The sequence below is a fragment of the Homo sapiens genome, chromosome 3, assembly GCF_000001405.40.
Source record: "Homo sapiens chromosome 3, GRCh38.p14 Primary Assembly".
Classification (NCBI taxonomy): domain Eukaryota; kingdom Metazoa; phylum Chordata; class Mammalia; order Primates; family Hominidae; genus Homo; species Homo sapiens.
Window position 1 is genome coordinate 192,552,893 of NC_000003.12, and position 20,426 is coordinate 192,573,318.

A 20,426-nucleotide genomic window follows, 5' to 3' on the forward strand; every position below is an offset into this window, starting at 1 on the left:
AAACAAAAACAAAACAAAACATAAACCAAAAAAAAAGAAAAAAATACATGCCAGAAGATCTTGAAACAACAGCTGTAAAGTACTGAAAGTTTTTTAAAGTCAAGCCAGTATTCCACGGTCAGTGGAAATACTTCAAAAATGAGGATAAAATAAACATTTTTAATAAATGCGTACTGAGAAAATTTGTCACCAGTAAAAATACGCTATAATAATTTGTTATTAATGGTTCTTCAAACTGAAGTAGGATACCAGATTGAAGCACAGATATGCAAGAAGGAAAGAAGAAAATTAGAAGTGCTGAATATATGAATCTATATAAAGAAACTATTTTTTCTTTTACAAATGTCATTAAAATGCAGCTTACTAGTCAAAGTAAAAAAAAGAAATTATATTGTAGGGTTTATAACATATGTAGAAGAAAAATATATAACAGCAATACCACAAAGATGGAAAAGGGTATAAATATAATTATAATACAGTTCTTACATTTTATATGAAATACTACAATGGTAACTCTAAGTAAGTAATAATAAATTAAGAATACATATTTTAATCCCCATACAACTGCTAAAAATAAATAAAGCAGCACAGCTTAAAAAGCCAATAGAAGAGCAAGATGGCAAAATAAGAAGCCCAGAACCTCTTTCCCCTCATAGGACACCATTTAACAGCAATTCAGTGACAAATGTCCCTTGTTAGAAACCCATAAACCAGTTATGAGGTTCCTGAACCTCAGGCAAATATGAAGCCAAATGCATTGAAACCAGTAAGAAAATTCGTGTCACTCATACACCATAGTCCCCCCAACCCCCGGCTCAGAGTTGTACAATCCGGAGAAAACTCCCATTTCCTGGCTTCTCTCTGGGGAGGAAACGAAAAGACTAAAACACATCCAAAACTCAGACTTTTGCGGTGCTGCCCAAGGAACTGGTTTATCTCCTGCCTGACTCTAAGCACAGAAAAACAAAAGGGCCAGGTTGGGGACCACTGAAAACAAAAGTAATGGTTTAGACTAACAAACACTCGCTCACCAAAATTCTATACCCTTCCCCTCTGGCTCAGTGCAGAATGAGTAGGGAGAAAAAGAAGCCTCAACTCCTGGCTTATCCCTGTGGAGGGAAAGAGTTAAAGTGTGTGTCCAAAATTCTGAACTTTCAAGGGACTGCCCGAAGGACTAGATTCTGTCTTGCCTGTCTTGGAGGATGGATGGGAGGGACCTCGAATACTCTATGTACTTGCAAGGCACAGAGGACAAAATAGAGCTGGGCAGATTGCTGCTGCTACTGATAACATACAACAGACAGAGGCCTATGCCATTTGGTGGTCTCTCCTTTGTGGGGTCATGCCAGAAGAGAAGAGTAGAGTATGCCTCTAGTGGTCTGGCTTTTCAGGGAGCTCTCTGGGGGGAATTGTTTCTGTGTCTTCGGACTTAGTGCACTGATGTGTCCCAACATTTACTAGAAGCCACTGAGAGCAAAAGAGAGCTAGGCACCTTGTGGCAGCTCCAAAGAACACAAACAGACACATTAGAGGGAGAAAGAGATGATGAATTCTTAAAAAAAGAAACTGGCAAATCTCTCTAATGAATTTATATGCACAAGTCCAGAGAAGAGGCATCCATAGGAAAAGTTTGAGAAGCTCTCTAGAATATCTAGCTGGGCTGATTGGTAAAGATCTTTTCCTATACAAAGCCAGTTCATAAAAACTGATATATATGGCTATTTTTTCAAATGAAGAGATCCCAACACAAAGTTATAAGGCACATAATAAACAGAGAAACATGGTTCAATAAAAGGAACAAAATAAATCTCCAGAAACTGAACCCAAAGAAACAAAGGTATGGAGATTACATGAAATAGATTTTAAATTGCTACTATAAAGATGCTCAATGAGCTAAGGAAAAAAAAAAGAATTCATGAATAAAATGAGAATATCAACAAAAATAAAATATTTTTAAACACCCAGAAAGTTTGGAATGAAAGAATACAATAACTAAATTGAAAAATTTACTAGAGGGGTTCAACTGCATATTTGATCTAGCTGAACAAAGAATTGGTAAACTCAAAGACAGGTCATTGAAATTATCCAGTAGGAGAAAAGAATAAAAGAATGAAAAAGAGTAAAGAAAGACTAAGAAACTTATGGCACATGATCAAGGTGTTCATTATATGCAATATGAGGGTCTCAGAAGATGAGGAGAAAGAGAAAGGGAAGGAAAGATTATTTGAAGAAGTAATGGGCCCAAACTTCCCAAATCTGTGGAAAGAAATGAATATCCATATTCAAGAATACCAAAAGACTTCAACTCGTATAAAACTAGTATATAAGAAATCTATAACAAGCCACATTGTAATCAAATTGTCAAAAGTCAGACAATGAGAGAGTTTTGAAAGCAGCAAAAGAGAAAGTGACTTTCACATACAAGGGAGGCTCAATAAGACTATCAGTTTAAAGCTAGATGGCAAAGGTAAATAGAAAATCAGAGAATAGTATGGTACTATAAAAGTAGTGCATAAATCACTTTTAATTCTGGTGTAGAAATTGAAAGATAAAAGTACAAAAAATGACAATAAAAACATGATAATACACAATATAAAAAGATGTAATTGTCCAGGCACAGTGGCTCACACCTGTAACCCCAACAATTTGGGAGGCTGAGGTGGGTGGATCACCTGAGGTCAGGAGTTGGAGACCAGCCTGGCCAACATAGCGAGACCCTGTCTTTACTAAAAAGTACCAAAAAAAAAAAAAAAAAAAAGGCCAGGTGTAGTGGCAGGTGCCTGTAATCCCAGCTAATCGGGAGGCTGAGGTGGGGGAATTGCTTGAACCCGGGAGGTGGAGATTGCAGCGAGCCGAGATCATGCCATTGCACTCCAGCCTGGATGACAAGAGGAAAACTCCATCTCGGGGAAAAAAAAAAAAGATGTAATTTGTGACATCTATAGCATAGTGTGTGCACGGGGAGACATTACAACTGATGGCACTGATACCATGGGGAGGAGACGTAAAGGGCAGTTTTTGTGTACAATTGAAATTATTAGCTAAAAAGAGATTGTTACAACTATAAAATGTCTAATGTAAGCCCTTTGGTAAACACAATAAAAGGTATCTATAAAAGATGCACCAAAGAAAGTGAGCAATAAATCAAAGCATGTTGCTATTAAAAAAAAAATCAACAAAACACAAGGGAAGACAACAAGAGAAGAAAGGAGGACCAAAAGGCAACAGGATAGACAGAAAACAACTAATAAAATGGCAATCATAAGTCCTTCCCTATCAGAAATTACTTCAAATATAGATAGATTAAACTCTTCAATCAAAAGACATTGAGTGGCTGAATGTTTGTTTTTGTTTTAAAGATCCAACTATAAGATATAAACAAATCTTGCTTTAGATTTAAGGACACACACAGACTGAAAGTGAAGAGATGGAAAAGATTTTCCATGCAAATGATAAGCAAAGAGAATCATGGTAACCATATTTATTTAAGGCAAAATAGACTTCAAGTAAAAAACTGTTATAAGAGACAAAGAAGGACATTATATAATGATTAAAATGTCAATTTACCAGGAAGAGACAACAATTATAAATATATATGCACCCAAAATATGGGCAACCAAATATAGGAAGCAAACACTGATAGAACTGAAGGGAGAAATGGACAGTAGTACAATGATAATAGGAGATTTCAATACTCCACTTTCAATAATGGACCAAACATACAGAGAAGAAACCAATAAGGAAATAGGAGCTGAGCAATTCTATTTATCAAATGGACCTAACAGACATGTAAGAAACATTCTACAGCAGAAGATAAACATTCTTCTCAAGTGCACACAAAACATTCTCCAGGATAGATCACGTGTTGGGTCGCAAAAGGAGTTTTAACAAATTTAAGGATATTATTTCCTATAGGGTTGTTTGAGCTCCTGGAAGATTAAAATTATACGAAGTATCTTTTCCAATCACAATGGATTGAAACTAGAAATTAAAAGCAGAAAGAAAACTTAAAAATTCACAAATATGTGGAAACTAAACAACACACCCTTGAATGATAAACAACGAATGAGTCAAAGAAAAAGCCAAAAGGGAAACTTAAAAATATTGCTAGACAAATAAAAATGAAAACACAACATACCAAAATGTATGGGATGCATCAAAAGCAGCCGTAAGAGGGAGTTTTATGTCAGTAAATGCCTGCAATAAGAAAAAAAACCTCAAATAAAAACCTTAATGGTATACCTGAAATAACTAGAAAAAGAAGAACAAATTAAGCCCAAAGTCACCAAAAGAAAGGAAATAATCAAGATTAAAGTAGAAATAAATAAAATACAAGTAGAAAAACAATAGAAAGAAATCAACAAAATTAAGAATTTTTTTTTGAAAAGATAATCAACAAACCTTTAGCCAGAGTATGAAAAAAACAGATAAGTCTAAAAAAAAAGACATGAAAGAGGTGACATTACAACTCATGCCACAGACATAAAATAATACCAATTACAGGTAAGGAGATTGAATCAGCACCAAAAAGTCTTCCAAAAAGGATGAGCCCATGACTAGATGGCTTCATTTATGAATTCTATTTACAAAACACTTAAAGAAGAATTAATATCATTTTTTCTCAAACTCTTGTAGAAAATTGAAGAGAGGGGAACACTTCAAAACTAATTTTATGAGGACACCATTACCTTGATAGCAAAGACAAACAAAGACACCAAAAGAAAGAAAATTATAGGCCTATATTCCCAATGAATACATACGTAAAAATTCTCAACAAAATGCTAGCAAACCAAATTCAACAGCACACTGAAAGAATCATGTATTTATTACCAGGTGGTAACATATATTCCTGAGATGTGATGATAGTTCAACTTACAAAAATCAATCAAGGTGATATACCATAATAACAAAATGAAGGGTAATAACCACATCATCAACTCAATAGATGCAGAAAATGTATTTGACAAAATTCAACACTTTTTCATTTAACAAACACTCAAAAAACTAGGAATAGAAGGAAATTACCTCAACATAATGAAGACTATATATAAAAAACCAACAGATAACATAATATTCAATGGTAAAAAATTGAACATGTTTCCTCTGAGATCTGTAAGAAGGCAAAAATGCACAGTCTCACCACTTCTATTTAACTGAAATAGTACTTGAAGTCTTAGCTAGAGTAATTAGGTAAGAAAAAATAAATAAAATCCAACAAAATCAGAAAGGATCAAGTAAAATTATCTCTGTTCTCAAATAACATGATTGCATATAGAGAAAATTCTAAAGTGCATATCAGAATAAACAAACAGAAAAACAGAGATAATAAATTCAGCAAAGCTGCAAGATACAAAATCAACAAACAAAAATAATTTGTGTTTCTATACACTAATACCAAATAATTTGAAAAAGAAATTAAGAAAATAATTCCATTTACAATAGCATCAAAAATAATAAAATACTTAGGAATAAATTTAACTGAAGAGGTAAAAAATTTGTACACTAAAAACTACAAAACTTTGTTGAAAGAAATTAAAGAAGACACAAATTAATGGAAGGACATCCCATGTTCACAGATTGGAAAAATTAATATTGCTAAAATGTCGAGACCACCCAAAGTGACCGAAAGATTTAATGTAATTGCTATCAAAATCCCACTGGCATTTTTTGTGGAAATGGAAAAAAAATCCTAAAATTCATATGAAACCAAAAAATAAACAACAACAACAACAACAAAACACTGTATAGCCAAAATGATTTGAGAGAGAAGAATAAAGCTGGAAGCTTCATACTTCCTGACTTCAACATATTACAAAGCAACATAATCAATGCAATCTGGTACTGCCATCAAGACAGATATATAGATCAATGGAATAGAATAAAGAGTTCAGAAACAAACCCATATGTATATATTGGTTAAATGATTTTTGACATAAGTGCCAAGACTACAAAATGGAGAAACAATAGTCTCTTTAACAAATAGTGTTGGGAAAATGGAATATCCACATCAAAATAATGAAATTGAACCATTATATTACACCATAAACAAAAATAAACTCAAAGTCGATTAAAGACTTAAATGCAAGATCTGAAACTATAGAACTCTTATAATAAATCATTAGGGAACATCTTCATATCGCTTTTCACAAGGATTTCATTAATTTGACGCTGAAAATACAGACAACAAAAGCAAAAATAGACAAATGGGACTACATCAAACTAAAAAGCTTCTGCCCAGCAAAGAAAACAATCTGCAGGTAAAAGCCAACCTAAAGAATGAGAAAAAATATTGGCAAATCATATATCTGAGGAAGAGTTAATTCCAAAATATATAAAGACCCCCTTCAACTCAATAGCAAAACCAACAGATAACCCACTTTTTAAAATGTTTTAAGAATTGGCAAAGGACTTGAGTAGACATTTCTCCAAAGAAGACATATAAATGGTCAATAGGTGTATGAAAACATGCTCAATGTTACTATGGGAATAGTAAAAAGATGAGTGGTTATCAAGAGGTAGGGATAGGGAGGGGTAAACAGGTAGAACACAGAGGATTTTTAGGGTAATGAAACAATTCTGTGCGATGCTATGATGGTGTATATATGTTATTATACATTTTTCAAACCTCATAGAATGTACAACACTAAGCAAGAACCATAATGTAGAACACTGATTAATAATGATGTGTCATATGTATACATATGTAACAAACCTGCACATTGTGCACATGTACTCTAAAACTTAAAGTATAATAATAATAAAACTAAAAAAAGAAGAAAAAAAAGATGTGTCAATAGATTGCAACAAAAGTGCCACTGAGGTGGGAGATGTTGATAGTAATGGAGGTTGTGTCTGTCTGGGGACAGGGACATATAGAGACACTCTCTGTACTTTCCACTCAATTTTACTGGGAACCTAAAACTCCTCTAAAAACTAAAGTTCGTTAATGAATTAAAAAAATCAGTAGGTAAGTAGAAGATTTCAGCACTATCTCAACCATTTTAACCTAATTGATATTTATAGGACACTACTGCAACAATTGCAGAACACACATCCCTTTCAAATGCTAAAAATGTTCAAGATTCATTCATGATATACCATAAAATAAGTAGCAATAAATTTAAAAATATTGAAATTTTACAGTGTATGTTCTCTGACCACAATGGCATTGAATTAAAATTCACTAAGATGAAGAAAATCTTCAATATTTTGAAACGAAACAGCACATTTGTAAATCACCCAAGGTAAAGAAGAAACAACAAGGCACATTAGATAATTTCTGAAAATGTATGTTCACGAAAACAAATCACTCTATATTTGTATGATCCAGTTTAACTAAGTCTTAGAAATATATGAGATTCAAATTCTTATATTTGAAAAAAATTAAAATCAATAATCTAAGGATTACTTTAAGAAGATAGAAAAAGTAGAGAAAATTACACTCAAATAAATAAAAAAATAATAAAGAGCAAAAATCAAAATATAAAACAAACAATATTGGAAAATTTAAAAGCCAAAGTGTTTTTGTAAAAAAAGGTAATAAGATGGTTAAACCCTAACATAGGTACTGTTGATGAAAAAAGAAAAAACAGTAATTACCAATACTAGGAATAAAAGATGGCATGTCATTGTAGATTCTATGGGCAAATATTATACATGCCCTTGTGTTAGTATATTCAAATTAGGTAAAAGGATTAATTTCTTGAAAAGCGTGAATTAAAAATTGAAAGGAAAAATGAAGAAAATAAATATAATTCTGCCTGGTAAATAAATTTAATTTGTAAATTAAAAACCTTCTCACAGAGAAAGCTGGAGGCCTGGTTGGTTTAACTGCTGAACTATATATTAAATATTAAAGAAAGAAGAATGCTAATTTTAACAAACTCTTTCCTAAATTAGAGGAAGAAATAAAACCTGTCACAAATCTAACAAACCTATTACTGAAAAAAAGGCAAATTAATATTCTCATACACATAGATGTGAAAGAGTAATAAAATTCTAGCAAACAAAACCTAGCAGAGTATTAAAAAGAATAAACAAAATATAGTACATGCATACAACAAAATATTTAGCCACAAAAAGGAATAAAGTATTGACTCATGCTACATGGGCAAACCTTGAAAACATTATGCTAAGTGAAAGAAGACTGTCACAAGAGGTCACATATTACATGACTCCATTTATCTGATATGCCCAGAACAGGAAAATCTATAAGGGAAAGGGGAAGCGGGGAGTAACCAACATATATATATGCCATATATACACACACACAAACACACGCACAGCTATATACACAAACACACATTCTGCAAATCAATAATAAAAAGACAACACAAATTTTAAAATAAGCAAAATATTTGAACAGGCACGTCAGAACAGAGGACATACAAATGACCAATAAGTACATGAAAAGTTATCAACATCATTAGTCTTCAGCGAAATGAAAATTAAAATGATGGTGAGAAACTTCACTTTTCTTTTTTTTTTTGAGACAGAGTCTCGCTCTTTCACCCAGGCTGGAGTGCAGTGGTGCAATCTCAGCCCACTGTAACCTCCACCTCCTGGGTTCAAGCGATTCTCCTGCCTCAGCCTTCTGAGTAGCTGGGACTACAGGCACCCGCCACCACGCCCAGCTAATTTTTTATATTTTTAGTAGAGATGGGGTTTCACCGTGTTAGCCAGGATAGTCTCGATCTCCTGACCTTGTGATCCGCCCGCCTCGGCCTCCCAAAGTGCTGGGATTACAGGCGTGAGCCACCGTGCCTGGAAAATACTATTTATTTGTGAGGATACAGACCAACTGCAACTCTCATACATTGGGAGTGTACTATGTTACAAACGATTAGAAAATAATACTTCTAGAAATGTCACTTAAAATAGTATCAGATTGTTTGCAAATTTGTTTCCCAGTTCATTATAAAGTTAAACAAGAGCTTACACTATGACCCCGTACTTCTGCTCCTGGGTTTTTACACAAGAGAAGTTAAAACATGGCAAAATAATAATAATAATAATAAAGAAAAAAAGAAAGAAAAAAAAAAGAAAATGACTTGTACATGAATATTTCCAGAAGCTTTATTCAAGTTAGTAAAAAACTGAAAATAATTCAAATGTCTACCAAAATAAAAACAAATAAATACACCATGGAATACTTAGACAATAGACCTTATACTCAGCAATTTTAAATAATTAACTAGTGATACACAACAACATGATGGATCTCAGAAATTTTGTTTAGGAAGAAGTTTCAAAATAGTATAGACTGAAAAAATTCATTTATATGCAATTCAAGATTAGGCCAAACAAGTCTATGATGAGAAAAATTAGATAATTGGTTGTGGGTGGGTGGGGAAGAGACTGACTGGAAGGGATGTGAAGAAATTTTCCCAAGTGAAATGTTGTATGTCTTGATGAATGTGTTGGTTATACAGGTTAATTTAACAAAACTCAATAAATTACACATTTAAACTTTCTGCATTTTATTGCATTTAAATTTTTAATTAGACAATAGAAACACAAAGAATGCATGTATTTTTACTTCATAAATGCATGAAGTAAATAATAAGAAAAACATGAAGGGATTTCTTCAGTAAAGTTCAAAATTTGATTGAAATAAAAAACCCACAATGAAGTAGAATTGTACTAGATACAGCTCTTATTAATAAATAAAAAAATTATATAGGCCATCTTGTCGCCATGGGACAAATAATTGCTGTGAATTTATATTATCTTCAATAAAACATATTTGTAATCAGTAAATAGGTATACTCTTCATTATGGCAACTAGTATGGAAATTTGGGTACAGAAGATAAATTCTGGGTGATACTAACCCTACCTCTGAGACTTTTTTTTTTTTTTTGAGCCAGAGTCTCACTCTTTTGCCCAGGCTGGAGTGCAGTGGCGCAATGTTTCACTGTGCTATGAGAGAAGCTATGTTTCATCCACTAAGCTTCTCTTGCAAACAATTATCTCTCTTATTCACACTGTCATTGTTCATCCTGAACGTTCTCTATCAAGCATTCACACGGATTTCCCATACTGAAACCAACACTGTTTGGCTTACATACTCTTAGACACATTGTTTGCCACATGAGTATGACCAGGGTAATAAGGACACTCAAAGTGCTATCACAGAAAGACTCCAAGGATCTTGAGAAGACTCATACTGGACGTATAAGTGGCTTTTATATGCCATGAAAGAAGATTAGACTTTTTTATGTGATTTTGAGAGCTTTAGAACTGGGACCTACCGTTGAAGTTAAAAGTAAAGCAATTTCAGTTCAAAATAACAAAGTTAGATCTATCCAAGATTAATGGAATATTATTAAAAAGTTGTATAAACTGAAAACAGGTAAATAGACACAAATTTTAAGCATTTGATGAATGGCTAGACAATCCAATCTTTAATATCTCTCATATCCCAAGATTTAATGGTTCTGGGTGCAGATGGTTCACCAGGCTCTTTATGCCCCCAAGCTCACAACTCACACATTCACCACTTGCTCAAACAATGAAGACTTGCACACACAATCCCATCCTCCTCCTAGTTTGTTACCAGCTGCTGCCAATGATTTAATACTGGAGACTGAGGAGAGCCAGAGTAGTTTCAATTGTACTCCCTAAAGAGGAAAAAAATCAAGCTAAATCCAATGAGGAAGGATAATATTTGAGAATGGCATTTTCATTAGCAGCTGACAAGTTTAAAAGTATGAACACAATTACATAGTGCTTTGTCAGCAAAGATGTATCATTAGTGTCCTGAAACAAAGAGAGAAATTCTACATAATTAATAAAATGATATTTAACTCTGCTATTATCAATAGATAAACACAATGATAAGTAGTATTCCTTAGTAGTTAAAGCTTGAACTTTGGATCCAGATTGCCTGATTTGAAATCCTAACCTCTCTGTCAGTTCTCCAATCTGAGAAAATAGAGATGACAAGAATACCTATATCATAGACTTCTTATGAGGATTAAATTCATTAATTCAAATCAAGCCTAAGAAAAGTGTATTGCAAGACATAGGTATGTGCTATTATCAATGGATGATTACCATTTGGTATGCCTACATTTTTCAGTGTTCAACCTGTCCATATATTAGGAGGCACCAAGGCTTAAAATTAGACTATGTGTAGTTTTTTGTTTTTTTTTGTTTGTTTTTTGTTTTTGTTTGTTTGTTTGTTTTTGAGACACAGTCTCCCTCTGTAGCCCAGGCTGGAGTGCAGTGGCGCGATCTCAGCTCACTGCAATCTCCGCCTCTTGGGTTCAAGTGATTCTCCTGCCTCAGCCTTCTGAGTAGCTGGGATTACAGGCGCCCGCCACCATGCCCGGCTAATTTGTGTATTTTTAGTAGAGACGGGGTTTCTCCATGTTGAGCAGGCTGGTCTTGAACTCCTGACCTCGGGTGATCTGCCTGCCTCAGCTTCCCAAAGTGCTGGGATTACAGGAGTGAGCCACTGCGCCCTGCCGACCATGTGTAGTCTTATTGGAACATCTAGAAGTTCCAGATGCTCCACTTACCTCAGGGATTACATTTTTTCATGTCCACTTTATGCTTCGGGGACAGTATTCTCAGGAAGACTTTCCAACACAAGCCAGCATTTAAGGCAGCAGGTGATATGTGATATGTCTAATGAATTGCTTTTGGAATTGAATCATTGTCTTTCCTACTGTACAAGCTTTAAAATACTTGGTCTTTGGGGTCTCCACACCATCTGCACACTTAAAGAAATCCAAGTGCAACAGAAACCAGTGATCACAGTTCATGATCACATGGAGCACTGTTCCCAAAATGGGCTATAGCAAGTTGATGTAGCTTCAGTGCAGCAATGAGCTTGACATTCTGCATTCCACTGGGTTTGGAATTTTTTAAATGTTTCTGTGTTTTGGTATTCAGAAACAGCATCTCAGGACTGAAATGAAAGATTAGAGGAGAATGTATTTATAGCACAGAATTCCCTTAAGAATGTAAGCTCTTGAGACAAATTGCATTGGTTCTAATCTACTCTCCATTTACTGGCTGTGGGACTTTCCCACACCTTTGTTTCCTCTACATAAAATAGGAATGCTGACATTACTACTGATCTCAAAACTACTGTGTGTATTAAATGAGGTTATCTACATAAAACATTTTGAACAGAGCTTTTTCACTTGGTGAATGCTCAATAAATATTAATCACTGTTTATTAACTAAAAATTTAGCAAGTTTGAAAATTCTCTGATTAATGCATAGACAAATCATGAGATGACTTTAAGCATATTTTGGTAATATAATGAGAGTTCCAAGAAATAAACTGGCTTAAAGCTTAGTGATCCTTCACCTATATGTTTAAAAATCTTATCAAATTACTACAACTTAAAAGTGATAGGTGAAGTTGAAGATGCTAAGACAAATCAAATTCTTGCATTCAAAATAATTTGCATTCTATCAGAGTGCTAATAATAGCAAATATTAGTTGAACACTAAATTATAGGCACTGATGTGAATTCGCTCATTTTATCTGTGTCAGAAATAAAGTTACACATGGCGTAACAATGTTTCAGTCAACAATGGACTGCATAATAGTACAGTGGTCCTATAAGATTATAATACCATATTTTTACTGTATCTTTTCTTTGTTTACATATGTTTAGATACACAAATACAGTTGTCTGTAGTATTCAGCCCAGTAACATGCTGTATAGGTTTTTGTAGCCTAGGAGCCATAGGCTATACCCTACAGCTTAGTTGAATAGCAGGCAACAGCATACAGCCTATTGTATAGTGGGCTATACACTACAGCCTAGTTGTATAGTAGGCTATATGATCTAGGTTTGTGTTAGTATGCCCCACAATTTTCACACAAAGACAGAACTACCTAACAATGAATTTCTCAGAACATATCCCTGTCATTAAGAGACGCATGACTGGGCCGGGCATGGTGGCTCACGCCTGTAATCCCAGCACTTTGGGAGGCTGAGGCAGGCAGATCACCTGAGGTCAGGAGTTCCAGACCAGCCTGATCAACATGGAGAAACACTGTCTCTACTGAAAATACAAAATTAGCCGAGCATGGTAGCACATGCCTGTAAACCCAGCTACTCGGGAGGCTGAGGCAGGAGAATCACCTGAATCCGGGAAGCAGAGGTTGCGGTGAGCCGAGATTGCGCCATTGCACTCCAGCCTGGGCAAAAAGAACGAAGTTCCGTCTCAAAAAAGCAAGAGAGAGGCATGACTGCATATGAAGCAGGCATTAGTAGTATCATATTTCATAGGTAAGGAAACTGAAATAAAGAGCATTTAAGTAACTTGCCTCCGGTTACCAAATCGCTCTACTAGTTAGAGCCAAATTGAGGGATCTCAGTTTCAGACTCAAGGAATCTGGCCTCAGACTTTACTCTCAATCACTGCTCTGTACTCTTTCTATAGTGCTTCATGAAAATCATTCTAGCAGCATGTGCAAGATAAAAGAAAAATAAGAGATCATGGAGATAGGAAGACCAGGTATTAAAATGATCCAGACAGAAAGAAACAAAGGCCTCAAATACACAATAGCCATAAGGCTGGAGAGTATAGAATAAATGAAAGAGATATTGGAGAAAAGAAGCTAAAAAGACTTGGAGACTACCTGTGGAGAGCCTGGGAAAATTTGCAGGAAATGTTAGAATTCAAATAACTGTATTTTATGGATGCCCCTGGATAGGGCACATGCTTTTGTTTCTCTAAAGTCTACAACACTGTCTGTTGTCTCTTTGGCCCATCCCAGTCTTTTAATCTCTAGATTTGTCCGTCATAATATTTCAAATGGTATTTCCAAACCATCTCCTAGTTTCCCTCAAACAAGAACATAGACACTGAACAATTTCACAGTTGTATGACCAGTATTTTTCTAAAATAAAAATTACTTTTTACCCTGAAAATTTATAATTATAAAATTTATGGCTAAAACTATTAAATATAAGAACCAACAACACTAACAACTACCAGAAAGGCCACACGATGGCAGCAAAGTATAGGGTACAAGCAGCAAGAGCCGGCGGCCTAGAGGGTGCTATGCACTGAATTCTCAGATTCCGTCTATTCTCTATTGAGTTCATACATATTAGTCAGCAGCTGTAATGCTAGTAACATTATCTCCACACAGCACCTCACACTTTACAAAACTCCCACAGATACTTTCTCTCGTCTACTTCTTACCACCACTCTGAGAAGTCAACAGGAAAAGGATCATGCTTTGTGTGGAGGATAAAGATGGAAGTTTTACTCCAGGTACTAGAAGCACCTCAGAGGCTCAAAGGTGAGACAAAGATCAAAACTTTGTCGTTGTTTCTTTTAGGATATGATCTGGGGAAATATAATATGAATGGGAATACTCTACCTTCAACTTTAGTGGGGAAAAAAATCTAAGGCTTTTTTAATAGAACTGGGAATTTTTTAAGGGGTTGGGGCTGTAAGTTATTCCTCACCGAAGTTGGAGAAAAAAAAAGGGAAAAGATAAGGAAAGGGAAAGGGCTTTATTTTTTTAAGTAACAAAGGCTAAAAATTTTCTTAGAGATTATTATAGAAAGCTTAACTGGAGAGAAATATGCCTGGGGGGAAAAGCATGTATCCTCCAAATGGTGCTTGCATTCATTTTCTAGGGCGGCTTTAAAAACCCACTACAGACTTGGGGGCTTAAAACAACTCTTCTGGAGGTCTGAAGTCCAAAATCAAGGTGTCCACAGGGCTGTGCTCCTTCCAAAAGCTCTAGGTGAGAATCCTCTCTTGACTTTTTAGCTTCTGTTAATGCCAGGCCTTCCTTGGCTTGTGGTGCATAACTCCAATCTCTGCCTCCATTTTTACATGGTCTTCTCCATGTGTCTCTTTCTTTCTTTCTTTCTTTCTTTCTTTCTTTCTTTCTTTCTTTCTTTCTTTCTTTCTTTCTTTCTCTTTCTTTCTTTCTCTCTCTCTCTCTCTTTTCTTTCTTTCTTTCTTTTTTTCAGAGTTTTGCTCTTGTCGTCCAGGCTGGAGTGCAGTGGCGCGATCTTGGCTCACTACAACTTCCCCCTCCTAGGTGCAAGTGATTCTCCTGCCTCAGCCTCCCGAGTAGCTGGGATTACAGGCACCAGCCATCATGCCTGGCTAATTTTTGTATATTTAATAGAGATGGGGTTTCACCATGTTGGCCAGGCTGGTCTTGAACTCCTGACCTCAGGTGATCTGCCTGCCTGGGCCTCCCAAAGTGCTGAGATTACAGGTGTGAGCACCATGCCCCGCCCTTTGCATGTGTTTCTTATAAGGACACTTGTCATTGGATTTAGGGTCCACCTAGATAATTTGGATTGATTTCATCTGCAGAACTACATCTGCAAAGATCCCTTTTCCAAATAAGATCACATATACAGTTACCAGGGTTTAAGACACGGGGAAATCTTTTAAGGCCACCATTCAACCCACTGTAGTGCTCTTGTGACTGTACTTCCTCCTGCCAGTGGGGAGCTCATGCATGTACACATTATGGACTCCTACCCTTCCGTGTGTTTAGTTGCCATAGAGCAATAATATCTGATCTCTGCTCCAAAATCTGACACCATTTTGCTGTATCCTCTCCTTGGGTTGTCTCCTCACCTGTAAAATAAGAGAGTTAGACCAGCCAATGGTCACAGTCAAAAGCGTTCTTGGTCTAAGAGGAAATGAACAGTAAGGCTTCAGAGAAATGAAAGCATTCATATTTTCTGCCAATTACTTGTCATATTATAGTGGAATCAGCTATCTTATCTCCCTCATTAGTTTTGAGAGTGTTTTTGTTAATTTTTACGTTTTATTAAATATCTGCCTATTGTGGATATTTAATAAATCCTGAGACTATAGAGATGGGCAAGACAGAGTCCTTCTGCCAGGAAATCCATAACCCAGTAGGAGAGACAGATACATAACGTTATCACTGTGAGGTAGTGTTCAAGCAGTAAGGAGAGATCCTTTGCATACATGAGCATAGAGCCCACGTGACCACTCTAGGCTATGGGTAGACTCAGGTATGAGATAACATTTATTCAACCTTCGAGAACCAACTTAAGGGTGTCCTTCATAAAAGACCAACTTATGAAGGGCACACTTACGTTGGTTCTCCAAAGTTGAATAAATGTTATTAGCTGAGCAAAACAGGAGAAAACAGTACATGCGGAATAATCACCATGTCTAAAGATGCTAAAATGTGAAACCAACTGGTTAAGTGCCTTGGATAAAGTACAGCGATGAAAGGTAGAAAAAAAATATTGTCTGCAAAGATAATCTTATGTGAACACTTGCTTTGGGGCCAAGCATCATAGCATATGCCTTTGTATATTATATAATTTCTCATAACAGCCTTTGTGGTAGAATGTCAGTGTAGGTTAAGCTGTGCTGAGGTAACAAACAACCCTCAAATATCAGTTGCTTCATCTAATGAATGTTTATTTCTCATCCACACATAGTCTGCTGTGGATTTGAGTCATTCCTCAGGACAGTTGTCTTCTGTGTGTAGCCTCAGCATTCTATCTCCTTAATTTCTAAGGAACCCTCGTATTCCTATGTTTTCACATTCAGCAAAGGAACGTCTGGAGAATTCAGTACCAGTAATTAAATATTTATACACAGAAGTGACATATAGCTATTGTGCTTACATTTCTTTTGCCAAGCAAGTCATTTGTACACACCTAACTTCAAAGGCCAGGGAAAGATAATGTCCAAAATTAGAGGAGAAGCAGGTATTGGGGAACTGAAGTAAGATTTATCGCAGGTAGCCACCAAATTATTCTCATTTTACGGAAGAGGAAATTGAGATATAGAGAAGTTAGTCATAGTCACACAACTGGTAAGTTGCAGAATGAGGATTTGAACTCAGATCTGTCTGATTCCAGATCTTACACTTTCTTTATTGAGAAACGCATGTGCCATACAAATAAGTTTGGACTTTATCCTAATGATAACAGGGAATTACTGGAAGGTTGCAATAGGGAAAACACGACTCATATTTATGCTTTAGAAATATGTGTATAAAACAATGATTGGGGAAGAACAGGACTAAGGATGTGAGGATACTAGCGCTGCTATGACAATTTTTGGAAGAGAAAAGATAAGGCCCTACACTGAGCCAGTGCCGTAAAAGTGCCAGTGATGACTGCAAGGAGGCAGAAGTTCCAAAGGCAAGTAAGAACCAGAATCTATAGGTTTTAATAAATGAGTGAATAGTTAGGATGAAGAAAAAAGAAAAGAGGACAGAATATGATTAGCAAGGTCCAGGCTTGAGCAAGGAGGAAGACAGAGGTGCCATATACCAAGACAGGGATGTAATACAAGCATCAGGCTAGCTGTGTTTGTTTGCTTTTGTTTTCCATGGGGGGGAGGGCCATAGGTGGTTTGGATTTGAACATACTGAATTTGAGTTGCCTATGGAAATCCAAGTAGAGAGCTCCAGCAGACATTTAGGCATATGTATGTTAAACTTATCAAAAAAAGATTTTAGTTACAGATAAATACTTGGGGAAAAACATGCAAATCTGGTAGTCCAAATATGTGATTAATGATATTGCCAAAGAGAAAAAAAGAGACAGGCTGGCACAAACACTATAAAAGATAAAGGTTTATGATGTGTCTGGAGGTGGGGATTTCATCATAGTCACCTTTGATCTCTCAGCCTAATTAAGGACTGAGTCTGGAAGTTTCCCCAAATTTGGTTAGCTGGATTTATGAAACAGAAAACATACCAGAGTGTACATCATGTGGACATAAGAATAACATCTGCTGTATTCATAGCACCATATTGTCTACAGCACATCTAGTAGTATGCAGATCCCCAAACTTCACAATCCTGGAAATCAACACACACACACACATCCATACATTGTTTTATCTTTTCATAAAATATTTTTATTGATTTTGGCTTATTACCAAAAAAAGTTCACTGTAACAGTAATAATATGTATAAGAAAAAATAAAACTAAATAAAAAATAAGATTATAACCTTAGCACATCCCTTTTTAATAACTATTCTAAGCTGGAAGCTCACTTTCTGGCATCCGTCCTAGCAAGGCTAGGAAAGTAAATGACGTAGTAATGGAAAAGGGAGGGGAAACAGACGGGGAGTTCTATTCATTTAGGGTTCCGTGATTCCATTAACCTTCTGATTCTTCAGAGCTTCTCCACACCTTTCCAATTCCTCTCTGCTTTCATTTCTACATTGGTGTTGGGGGGAAAAAACAAACCTTATTAGCCACACATAAACATCTTCCATTAAACTGCTCTAAAGCAATTACTGCTGTTAACACAGTTAATGGACTGTCAATGTCAAATGTGAAACCTTTTCTCCTGGAAAGGCAACAATGACTTCGTGAAATCGTTTTCTGTGCTGTAGCAGAAAGGGAGGAATTCTGGAGGATCGCTCTTTCTGCAAACATCGCGGTCTGTGAAATCTGCCCCCTAAAAAACAAACAAACAAAAAAACCAAACCAAAACAAAAAAACCCTGATCATATGCCTGTTATCCTAAAATAGCACCTTCCTCCATTATGCCGAGGTTCAGCGCAAAACTGACTCATGCAGTACCGGGATCGCTGCCAGAGCGACGGAGCGCGCGAGCAGCGCGGCATCAACAGGCAGAAGGTGCCACGGGGCGGACGGGACCCACTGCCCGGGTCCAGACTTTCCATCCGAGAAAGCAAAAGCTTTCAGTATCCAACTTATTAGAAGATAACATCTTGATAGGGTTCTCGGGCCTTCTTAAAATAAATCTGTCAGACTGTGCTTTTGAATCTGTCCTGTGTCAAGGTTGCTCCCCCAGGGCAGGGCAGCAATTTAGCTTTTGCAAGATCCTGCACTTGCTCCTCAAACGCCAAAGCAGCAACGCGAGCAACTTCCGAGCAGCTGCTTCTTCCCCACTCAAAGCCACATCACCAACTTCCTCAGCAGCAGCCCCAGCAGCAATCTGGGTGTTCAATCTATCTCGATCTCACAATGCCCATGCCTCCTAGAGGTCTTCCCAGAGCTTAGGAGTCTTTGCCCCTCCTGGGAACTTTCTGAGGGTCCATATAGTGGTCCTTAGCACTATTGCTGTTTTTTTTTTTTTTTTAATTTTAGTTGTAATATACGAGTGTTAGCAATCCTCATACATCTCTGACTTATCCACAGTGCCTAGTATACAATGGACAATTTAGTGAACAATGAATAAATCAGAATATTGAGGCTTAGGAAACTAGGACCCATCACGAACCTTCTCATAGTAATCCAGATCCTGGATGGAAGCTTTTAATAAACACAACTTCTGTTTTCCTTCCTCTTTGTTTTTTATTTCTTCTCGAAAGAGACTTAATTGAAGAAAATGAGCTCTTTCACTTCTTCCATCCTCCAGGAACATAAAACTGACAGCCTCCTCCAAATGATTATTTAGCATTTAATGATTTATTCCTTGAGCGCCCAGTTGATCTTCCTTGGGCCCATTTGAAGAACTCTTGTAGCAAGGGGAAAATTCACATGATCATGCACAGCGTCAAGCTCCATTTACCTTTTGTCCTTTAATGATACTGATGAGCAGGCAGGTGATTTAAAAGAGAACAAATGGTCATTAAAATTAATCAAAAGGACACAATAAGGAAAAATGTGCTATATAAGGGCAACATAAGTTTTGTAGTGACACAAACAGAACAAAACAAACAAAACTCAAAGGAATGCAAAGGTGGCATGTATAGTATTTTAGCCCTTTAATTTGAACCCAAGGACTTAAATATGCACAGTTTTATGCACAGACAAATACCACTCACTGGGGCCAAATACACAGTAACAATGCTAAAAGTTTACCCCTTAGACTATTTTTAGAAATTACATACTAAACTATTTTAATCAGAGCTATAAAGCACACAGTGACCCATTCACAATTTACACCAAGAATTCTGTTTTTATGTACAATTTAAAATGCAGGGGACTCACTGTCATCACAATGGCAATGTATAGAACATTTTAAAAGCCTACAATGAGAAATAGGAGCCATTTCATGGTCATCCTCATAGTTTTTCCAACCGTTAGAATTACTTTATATAAAATAAATATTTAGTAAATGTTAGAAAAAGGGAGAGAGAAAATGAGGGAAGAAGGGTGATGACATGACTCTAGGAATGAAGAAATGGCATTCGGAAAAGGTATTTTCTTTTATACTTGGGAAAGCAAAGGACAGAAGTAATGAGCAAAACTTTATACTAAAGAGTCTCATTCTATATTCAGTGGTCAGAACTAGGAAAGGTTATTTTGGAAAGTTGTTCTCTTCCTGTAGGATAGGGGTTCTCAGTGCTTATGGAACCTACTTCTGAACTGGCCTTAAAAATAATCTTGGAAAGGGGATGGTTGGTGCCTTGTGGAGCTTAAAAAAAAAAAAGGATAGTCAATATACCTGTGATGGTCAATTTTATGTGTCAACTTGACCAGCCAAAGAGTGTCCA

At 36.1% G+C, this 20,426-nt stretch overlaps 1 protein-coding gene and 1 long non-coding RNA gene across 5 annotated transcripts in view, besides 1 other annotated feature; one reads left to right on the forward strand and one right to left on the reverse strand.

The window, feature by feature from the left end:
• Window positions 1–20,426, reverse strand: part of FGF12 (fibroblast growth factor 12) — a 588,152-nt gene that overhangs the window by 413,503 nt on the left and 154,223 nt on the right. The gene's annotated exons all lie outside the window — the stretch shown is intronic.
• Window positions 14,090–14,139: an enhancer, noted in NCBI's record as "active region_20991". NCBI's record gives its function as "activates an Ori minimal core promoter by ATAC-STARR-seq in GM12878 lymphoblastoid cells {active_cell/tissue: GM12878}" and the evidence as "EXISTENCE:reporter gene assay evidence [ECO:0000049][PMID:35858748]".
• LOC124906319 (uncharacterized) lies at window positions 14,109–18,741 on the forward strand. Of its 2 annotated transcripts, none has more exons than XR_007096220.1 (3): window positions 14,109–14,279; window positions 14,623–14,732; window positions 18,515–18,741. It is a non-coding gene; the product is annotated as an uncharacterized LOC124906319 (long non-coding RNA). The 2 variants fall into 2 exon arrangements; XR_007096219.1 differs by having other exon boundaries at window positions 18,521–18,741.